Source organism: Homo sapiens, chromosome 1 (assembly GCF_000001405.40).
Source record: "Homo sapiens chromosome 1, GRCh38.p14 Primary Assembly".
Classification (NCBI taxonomy): Eukaryota; Metazoa; Chordata; class Mammalia; order Primates; family Hominidae; genus Homo; species Homo sapiens.
Window position 1 is genome coordinate 191137995 of NC_000001.11, and position 11179 is coordinate 191149173.

Genomic DNA, 11179 nt, shown 5'->3' on the forward strand with positions numbered 1-11179 from the left:
CTGAATCAGAAAACCACTATAACTTAGACATATATGTAATTTATTTTTTGACAATATGGTTATAAGATGGCAATTATCTGCAGATTGGTAGAAATGTATCTCATCAATAAGTGAGTATGGTAAGGTTTATGCATTGAAACTTTCCCCCAAAATGCTCTAAGTTGTGTTATGAGTACAGACTTAAAGATTTAAGCACCCACTTCCATTTTTCTATGTACAATTTTAATTACTATCTTAGTTTAAGTTTATTTATTCACTTTAAAATATACAGTTCAGGCTGGCAGCAGTGGCTCATGCCTCTAGTCCCAGCACTTTGAGAGGCTGAGATGGGAGGATGGCTTGAGGCCAGGAGTTCAAGATCAAGCTGACCAACATTTTAAGACTGTTTCTACAAAAAAAAAAAAAAAAAAAAAAAAAAAAAAAAAAAAATTACAAAAAATTAGCTGCATGCCAGGTGCAGTGGCATACCACTGTAGTCCCAGCAACTCGGGAGGCTGAGGTAGGAGGATGACTTGAGCCCAGGAGTTCAAGGCTTCAGTGAGCAATGATCAAACCACTGCACTCCAGCATGGATGACAGAGCAAGTCCTTGTTTCTAAATATGTATATGGGTATATAAATTGTTTTAATATACAAAATATATTTTATGAAAGAATGTAATGTAGTGATTTATCATTATGAACCACTTACACTCTTTGGATGCCACGAACCCATAAACATTGTTTTATTAGTTTATATATACATTTAGAGTTTTTACTTGGTTAATTTATTTAGGAGAACTAGGAGGCAGATAATAAAATGCAAAGAAAATTTTCATGACATCTGAAGACGGGATAATACAAATATGGATGAAATTGGTCACTGCATTTAAATATTAACTTTAATGTTGATCTATTATCCAAAGTGAAGTTTGATTTACAATTTGAAAATTCCTAACTACTTAGAGGCATTTTTAATAATAAACGATTATTAATATATTAATATAATTTAGTACACAAAATACACTGAGTGTTTTACTAATGGATAGGAGTCAACACAGACTGTAATAAAACGAGGCAAAAGAGAAGACAAGGGTATTATATGAGTATGTTTGGAATCTTCATTAGTTTGTCATTCAATCAAATATACCTAATAGTTGCCAAATCTTCAAATGTTTATCAATAAAAAATTAAAATTATCTTCACATATAACTTTTTAACAAACTGTATGAATATGAAAAATAAAATACACAGCAAAAATATTAATTTATATCTTTTACCATTAAAACATAATATTTATACAGGTAAATGTTTCCATTGAATACTAAATATATGAATGGACAAAAAATGATTACTGAAACAACAGCAGTAGAAATGACTGAGTAAAATAAATGAAACTTTTTATAACAAAAATGTAATAGCTTATAAAGTTCAAAGGTATGAGGGTTTAATTGTAGCTAAAATATAAGCATTATTATAATGCTTACTTTATGCTTGATCTCTCTGATTCTTAGGTTTCTCATTTACAAAATGGAGATAGAAAAGCAATTGTTTGGTGGTGGAGAAAACATTTTTAAAAAACCAAAGACAAAAACTAAATAAAAAAAAAGACTTTGTTTCTATTTTGTTTTGTTGATTTGTTGTGTATACAGCAATCTCCATTAATCATAATGGGCCAGCACATGTTATGAAGCAAGGTTATCACAGATTTGAAAACTTTTTAAAATAATATTGTCAGTGCAATTTTTAAACTATGATGCTAGAACTGGCTTCTAATGTTCTAACTCAGTTTACAAAGAAATAAAATTAGATCCCAGTTCAACAAATTATTTTTTATGTGAAGACTATATATAATTTTATTTCTAGGTTGCATGCACTCTTATATAATTTCAAGTATTTGTTTTATACAGTTTTTTGCTTCTGACTTATTTTATACTTCTTACACTAAATTTATATTAGACATTCTTTTCACTGCTGCTAAGTCATTCAGGAAAGTGTTAATCAGAAAAGCATACTTAAATGTTAAAACAGAGCATTTTGAGTACACTATAGAAACATTATTATAAATATCATGCTGCTATTCTGGACACTATCAAGAATAAAAAACTTCATTTTTTCTTTGCTGGCACAATGTTTTTAATTTAAATACTTTATTATTCCAAACAATAGTTGAGATTACTTACAAAAACCTACCTATGGGCTATATAAAATAAGTAACAGGAGAAATAATGGTAAAAGGATCATTAAAAGTGATGCAATACTAGTCTGATTTGTTCATCAAATTTCTCTACGTGTTTTATTTATTCTACAGTTATGAATTCAAGTTTTAAAATGTTGCTGAATGTTTATTTTATAAACTGGAAGATTAATGCTTTTTCTCATGAAAGTTTCCAGCAAAAACAGGAAATGGTTTTCTTTTGCTTTGTTTTTTTGTTAGCCAAATACCTATTTCCATAATTTTCTATGTAAATATTATGATACTACTTAAATTCTATTACCTTTGTCTTATTTTTCTTCACAATTTTTAAATGTAAGTTGTGTGTGTGTAAATATTTTTTCTACCATTTTTACTTTGTTTCAAAATTGCTATACACTTTCAAAATTCTTTTATAAATTGAGCCTTAATGTTATCTTTCCCCTGCTGCTCATTTTAATTCTTCTCGACTGTTAAAACATAATTCAACCAACGTAACAGTAGTTAAAAACACTTAAGCAAAGAAATGTTAATTAATTTTAATTGACTACTATTTTATTTTTATGTTCAAACTAGAGGTAATGTATATACTTCTTTTATATTTTCTAAACATATTTTTCATTTCTATAAATCTGAATCACACTAATTTCCAGGACCATCTTTATTCCAAAATGTGATAGATTTCTGGCTAATGAGGTATTGTATTTTTTGCTAATATAAGCTAATAAATAGTAAGTTTACTAAATTATGCACCATTTATGGGGCTTCGTTAATTGTAAAATAAATAAAATAAATAAATTAATTAATTAAATGTTTCCTTAGTTAGCAGAGTACCTGGAGTTATTCTGGATTAATTACCATAGATTTGGAAGATCACAAAGGAAGGTCTATGAGGATTCTTTTTCATTCTTATGTAAAATACTATGCTGAGTATGAATGGAGAAATGTGAGACAAAGTGCAACTTATAGAAAAGATGTGTGATTGCATTTTTTCTTTTTAATTTTTATCGAACCACTCAAGATAATAAATTATATATAGTTGATTTTTACTGTATTGTCATGCTTATGCATCACATTAAATCCATGTATAGACCTTATTTGTTTCTTACATTAGCCACCAATGTGGTGATCAGGATTGTGCAGACTTCATCTAACTTCAAGATGATGAAACTGACATTTTCTCATTTCAGGCCAAAATCATCTTTTCACTTTTCTCCCTGGGGTTTCTCTTTTGATATCATCTTCTATCTGGAGGTATAGGGCAATAAAAGCCTCATAAGCCAATAGGAACTTGTGGATAAATATCTCTTTTTCTTCCAGATGGACAAAACTGAAATCAGTTTTATAGGTATACTAAGATGGTCTCAAATGATTAAAGAATCTGCTGCACATATTAGTGACTAACTCCACAATATCCCGGAATTGGCTCTCCATCTTTTTCTGTTTCATTCACACTGTCCCACATTCTAATCCTTGGGATTAAACTTCTCATTAGGTATTGTGTACACAAATCTTCATCTCAATCTATGATATCTGGCAGAATTTATGCTGATAACTATACTTTCTAAAATTCAAATATGCCATAATGTTTACAGGATGGTTTAATTAGTTGTAACATATTTACTGAAGTAGGCTTAAAATTAAATTTTCCCAATTAAGTATAAAAAATTAATTACACTCTTAGAAAATTCAAGTCCATTATTCACTTTTTTGTTAGATAAATACATTTATCAAATTTATATAAATTAGAATATATGTATTTTATCTGCTTTAAGTATCTATTATAACCTGTTGATTATTTTAATAACAATTTTCAAAAAGCAGGACCAATGTAAAAGAAATTAAGAGGATATTTGCACCAACAAAAACTCATGCAAAATAGCAACTCTATGTAAAAAAAAATTGTTTATTTAAATTCATGGAAATAATAGCTTCTAAAGTTTTCACAGGACTGAGGCATCTCCTTTTAGGTTTCAGCTGATATGATGTCATACATGAAGCCTATCCATACAAGTTCAGGCATACTTATATTATCCAATAATAGCTCTTCAATTTGCCTTGTTTATACCTGCAATATGGCAATTGTCAATTTCTTGCTTGGCTATTGGCTCCTTTTCATTATTAAATGTGTGACACTTATCAAATCATTTGAAAAGTTTTATAAATAGTAGATAATTGCATATTTGAGAACATAGAGATACTTCATGTAATATTTTAATTGCTTTCCCTCACGTAATTTTCATTTTTATTCTAAGTCAGTTCCAGCAGCAGTTAAGCCTGTTTCATGATCTTCTACCTTGATCTCAGTGTTCCCATCTGTCCTGCCTAACTTTATTTTCCCCATTATTAATGAATAGTAGAAAGGGTAAACTTTTTCAAAATTGAATTCCTCCAGGCTGGCCTCCCAGAGTAACACTGGAATCTTTAAAAGATCTATGATAAGAGTCTCAGACTAATGTCAATACTCGATGCAAGCTGAGATGGCAAATTGAGATAGTGAGCCTCTGGGATGCTCAAACTGTAAGCTTTTAAGAAAATTTGTTTTTGTTTTTGCTTTTTGCGAGACAGGGAGAGGCTGATGTTTCTCCAGACGTACAACTTAAAAAACCCACAATTCAAGGACAGCAATCCCTTTCCAGAAATCTGGTATGTGCCACTACCACGTTTGTAATCTTGCTGAGAAGTTACCAAGCAAGTAGAGAACTGCCTACCTGCCACTGTTCTTTGAGTTTCTCTCAATAAACTTGGTTTCAGAAGCCTGTATAAAGAGGCTGTCCTTTCTCCACTGCGCATTTTTAGCACCCTTGGCAAAAAGCAGCTGGCCATCTATGTAAGGGTTTATTTCAGGCCTCTCTATTCTGTCTCATTGGTCTATGTGTCTATTTTTACATCAGTACTGTGCTTTTTTGATACCTATACCTTTGTAATATAGTTTGAAGTCAGTTAATGTGATGCTTCCAGCCTTTTTTTTTTTTTTTTTTTTTTTTTTTTTTTTTCTCAAAATGGCTTTGGCTATACTGGGTCTTTTGTGGTTCCCTATAAATTTTAGAATTGATTTTTCTATTTCTGTAAAAAAAGTTCCATTGAGATTTGGATTGCATTGATATCTGTAGCTTGCTTTTGGGTAGTATAGACATTTTAACAATATTAATTCTTCCAATCCATGAACATCAGCTCAGTTTTCTTTCCATTTATTGTCTCTTTTAATTTTTTTCATCAGTGATTTATAGTCTCAGTGTACAAGTGTTTTACCTCACTGCCTAAAGTATTCCTAAGTATTTTTCATTATTTTTAATGCCATTATAAATGGGATTTTTTCTTTATTTCCTCTTAAGGGTTGGGGAAACTGAATATCCACATGCAAAAAAATAAAACTGGACCCTTATCTTACACCATACACAGAAATCCATTCAAACTATATTAAAGATTTAAACACAAGACATAAGTTCTAGCACAATAAACCTCCTAGAAGAAAACATAGGGGGAAAGCTTCATGGTATTGGGCTTGTCGATGATTTTTTGGGTATGCTGCTAAATGAATAAGCAACAAAAGCAAATTTAGAGAACTAAAACCATATCAAACTAGAAAGCTTATGTACAACAAAGGAAATAATTAACAGGGTAAAAATGCAACTTACTGGATGACAGAAAATAATTTGCCTTGGATTGCTTAACAGACATCTAAGTGAGTGTTTCTATTTTTCTACTTCCCAGTCACTTTCCAATCTTCACCAATTCAACATCTCTCAAGATTCCAATAAAATGGCTCTCCTGAGTGTACTAATAAGTATTCATTTAAATATACAATTCTGTATAGAATTCAATATAGAATAAACAATTCTAATGGACATTTCCTAGTTCTCATCAGTCTTAAATTCTTAGTAGCATGTAATTTTATGGACCATATTTTTTTGTTTCTGTAGGATCTGTGACTCTGTATAATCTTAATTTGCTTTCCCTCCTGTTTCTTGAAGACAAAATAGGAATATATGGAGTCACAGGTCCTATGGAAACAAAATTCTTAGTGTAATTTTTGGATTCATAACTTACTGCTTTCTTATCAGTTAGGTCCAACAAAGAAAAAGGAACCAAACCGTAATTTGAATGCAGAAAGCTTAATATAATATTCACTCTGAGATGTTTTGGGTTTTACTAGGCCCTGGTTATTATCTCTTTTATAAATATGAACACAGAGAAATGCATCTTCACCAAAAGAAGATCAATGATGCAAGAGTGATGCTAAATGAAAACTGGATGTAATCATTAGAATTGATGAGAATATAGCTAGTGAAAAACATGATGGTGAATAGAAGAGCTTCATCAAAAATGCTGGGTGTTCTTTATGAAGTTTTGTCCCATTGTATTTATGTTGGAATATAGTTTTTATTATTTGAATTACCTCAATTTCTGTAAGTGCATAAGTCTATATATTTTGTGTAGGTACATGTATACATATATTTGTGTTTATATATATAATTAATTAACAGTAGTGCTTATAACACTCAAAACAATATGCTATTATTCAATTTTCAGCTTTTTGCCTCTGCCAATTTTCAGTGTTTATACAAATAAACTTCAAGTCTTATATAATAGGCAGAAAATAATGACTTCCATAATTTTTAAGGATATATTAAAGTATAGGAATCATTACATCAACCACATGTTAAAACAACTTTCTAATGCCTCTGTGTGCTGTGCATTGTCTTCATAAAGCATGAGGTGCATCTAAATCATGTATCACCTTTTGGGTCGATGCAGTGGCTGATGCCTGTAATCCCAGCAACTTGGGAGGCTGAGGCAGGTGGATCACTTCAGCTCAGGAGGTTGAGAAGAGCCTGGGCAACATGGGAAAACTCCGTCTCTACCAAAAAATCATTAGCCAGGAATGGTGGTACATGCCTAGCATTGCAGCTACTTGGGAGGCTGAAGCAGGAGGATCACCTGATCCCCAGGAATTGAGGCTGCAGTGAATTGTGATGGTGCCACTGCACTCCAGCATAGGCAACAGAGTGAGACCCTGTCTCAACAAATAAATAAATAAATAAACAAACCACCTTTTCACTTTCATAAAATAGAAGTTCTCAACACTAAATAACATTTTATAGATGAAATACTTGAAGTAACATTTGTGATACTGGTAAAATTATTTATTTATTTTCAAGAGAATTAAATCATTTCTTGATTACACATGATAATGGATGATACACAAGCTTCATTCCCATCTATAATTTTATCTGGTACCATTATTTGATTTAGATATATTGCATAGGATTTGCCAACAATGATTTTTATAACCAATAATTCCATGATTTTGCTTGAGTAATCCCTTTTAATGGCAAACTTCAGGTCACAACAGTAACTATCAGTTCAACTACACCAAGGTTTCTGAAGACAATGGCTTCTCCACCCAAGCTATTGGTATATACATTCCAAATAGAACCTGGCATCACCTTGAAGGAATTCAAACTTCACACTCTTGGGGAAATTTACAAAAATGGCTTCGGAGTAGACTAACTTTACATGGTATATTTTTTAAAAGTCATTTATTCAGCATCATGATCAGACTATTACATTTAGCAATCAACAGCATGGGTGCCAAAAAAAAAAATCTACATTAAAACCCTTTGTTGGAATGTTTTACATTTTCCACAGAACAGAAACTAAAATAGCCTGTTATACAATTAGTCACAAATACAGTCCTCGAGTTTTTTGCCCATACACAGCAGTATTTGTCTAAAACTGTCTTCATTGGACCTGCCACCACTGTGCTTGGCTGAGTTCACAAACCTTTTGTAACCTGCAGCTTCCCTGACACTTCTCTGGCTCTCCTCTCTTGCTAAGCTTTGTTTTCTAAGTAAAATCTTCTGCCACAGCCATAGCTACTGCCACTACTGAAACCGCCAGAGCCACCTTGGTTTTGTGGTTTGGCAACGTATTGGTCTCCACCACCATAGGGGCCAGAGCTTCTGCCTCCAAAGTTTCATCCTTTCATGGGTCCAAAATTTGAAGACTGATTGTTGTAATTGTCAAAATCATTGTAGCTTCCACCATGTCCAAAATTGCTTCCATTTTTACCATATCCATTGTAGCCATCCTCACTGCCACCATATCCACCACCAACACAGTTGCCACCAAAGCCACCACTACCACTGAAGTTTCCTCCATGAACAAAGTTGTCATTCCCACCAAAATCACCTCCACAACCACCACCAAAGTTTCCAGAACCACTTCAACCTCTTTGGCTGGATGAAACACTAGCCATCTCTTGCTTTGACAGGGCTTTCCTAACTTCACAGTTGTGGCCATTTACAGTATGGTATTTCTGAATGACAGTCTTATTCACGGAGTCATGTTCATCAAAGGTTACAAAGGCAAAGCCTGTTTCCCTGCCACGGCCTCTGTCAGTCATGATTTCAATCACTTAATAATCTTTTAGATGATGTTCTTCAGTGTCTTCTTTAATGCCACCAACAAATATCTTTTTCACAGTTAAGTGGGCACCTGGTCATTGAGAGTCTTCTCTTGAGTCAGCTCCTTTTGGTTCCACAACTCTTTCATCCACCTTGTGTGACCTTGCATTCATGGCTGCATCCACCTCCTCCACAGTGGCATTTGTGACAAACCCAAAGCCTCAGGAGTGCTTGGTGTTTGGGTCTCTCATTATCACACAGTCTGTGAGCTTTCCCCATTGCTCAAAATGGCTCCTCAAACACTCATCGGTTGTTTCAAAGCTCAACCCTCCAATGAAGAGCTTTCTCAGCTGTTCAGGCTCTTTATGAAACTCTGACTTAGACATGACGGCAGGAAGAAGAGAGACTTTGACAATGCTTCCTGGGTGCCATCCACAGGCAGAAAGTGTGATTTTGTAAAATTATTAAACTTCTTAAAAATGTAAAGTATTTTAAGCCAACTAAAAACATGATTTTACTATTAGCATAATTTTAACATCTGTCAGAATATTCTATCCCTTTGCATAAAAACACTTTTCTATGACCCACTTAATTTTTAATCTTTTGCTTAATATATAAATCAATTTCTGCAAGTCAAAAACTTTATTAATTTTTACTTTTACCAATTTCGTTTACTTATTTGGATAGTAAAATCCAATTTAACTTTGAGTCCCTGGGGAATATAAAACAAATTTGTTTTATGTTAATTGATGTTTAAATGAAAATGTATAAGAAATCTGTAATTGAACTTTTTAATTTAAAAACAAAGTTTAGTTTTTTAAAGTTGCCATCAATCCATTTTATTTAGACTTTCTGTTTGGTTCTGTGAGGGATCATAACACATTTTTTGTATTGTCAATAGTTCTGAAACATATAAATATTAAAAATTCATTTAACATTTTATGTAGTTCAAGTTTTGCAAAACTGTTACATATAATGCTATATACACACACAAATACACACATGCACAATACATACATACGTGTATGTATAATGTTTTTTGAGAAAGACACTCACTCATGATTCATCCCATTTGCTTGCTTTGAATATCAGTATATTAAAATATATTTTATTTCTCATGCAGTGTGATAATCATGAATGTTAGACTAGTTCTTTTATTATTATGTTTCAATTAAATAGTGCCATCAATGCATCATTTTGGAAACTAAATAGAGTTTTTGTGCAATATATTTAATTTCTGCATAAAAAATAAACTGAAACATTGTTACTATCTTAGTTGGAGATTAAATCCCAAGTCTACAGGCTCACTTTTCTTTCCTTCGAGCCAGCCTATCATCCTCTGCTCATGTGGGCTAGACGTTTTTATAGAAACATACACGAGACAGAGCACATATTGGGTGTCAAGAGATAGCCTCTTATGCTTTGACATAAAATACATTTTTAATAATAAACACCCTGATAGAAGAACTAGAGTATGTGGGAGTACAAAATAATGAAAACTAAGCAAACTAAGTGGTAAGGCCATTTGAAACTTAGCAGGACATTCACAAGATAGAAATGAAAGACGTGAAGAAGAACAGAGATTATCAGCCAAAGCCCAAATAAATCAAAGAGTATAGTGTCTTAAAGTGATAGAGAGATGTGCCATATTACCTTAAAATAGAAAAGTAATAGAAACAGGAGTGAGATGAAAACCGAGTAGGTTAGAAGTGGGCTATTAATAAAGGGTCTTGTAAAGCATAGTGAAGCTTGATAGTATCCAAACATATGGATTTGGGGCTCATATTGTTCTTAGTATGTGTCCAAGTTTGTTACTTATTAGATATGTGCGCTTGGGCCAGGCACTAAACTTCTTTTCAAATATATGTTTTTGGATGTATAAAACTGAAATAATAATTCTACCTTCTATGATTTTTCTAATAGTAGGGAGATATGGCATATACATACATTAACAGAGTACTAGGGAAATTTTAATCCTTTGTGTCTAATATGTATTAATGTTATAAATATTATACTTTGCCTTGTATCATTAGGAGTTATGCCAAGAGCAACCTCCTCTACCTAAGTATCTATATCATTATTTGGGAAGAAAAAAGTCTTATTCTTCCCCAATAATTTGCATGGCCAATATTATGTTGATATATAGCTGCAAGGGAGGTAGGATTCTTAATGTTTAATGATGCAGTCTTTGTAATACAATTGAGAAAGGAAGAAGGTAGTTTGAAGAAGTATTTCATAATCCCATCCATAGCACGATCTATAGCACATGCAAAAAAGCTTTCTATAAACACAATGCGACATAACTGAAAGGTCCTAACATGAAGAATTTTTCCATTCAGGAAGATCTCTGCAGCTATAGGTTAGTGGACTGAAGTTATAGGTGCTAAGAGGCATTTACTTTTTCTGTAACTTAGGAGATTAGGTCACCCATCAGCAAAAGGTAAAGGGGGATGTGAAGCATTTTAGAAAGATGTTTTGACAGAGTTTCCAAGCAGAAAGTGAGTTAGAAGTGACTAGGAAAATAACTATGTCAAGGAAGTGTTAATGTTGAAGATCACAGCAACAAACCACCCAAAAATATACATAACTTTTAGAGAA

The 11179-nt window shown here is 32.4% G+C and overlaps 1 pseudogene; it reads right to left on the reverse strand.

Moving 5' to 3' along the window:
• Window positions 1–7628: 7628 nt before the first annotated feature.
• Window positions 7629–9027, reverse strand: HNRNPA1P46 (heterogeneous nuclear ribonucleoprotein A1 pseudogene 46; annotated as a pseudogene).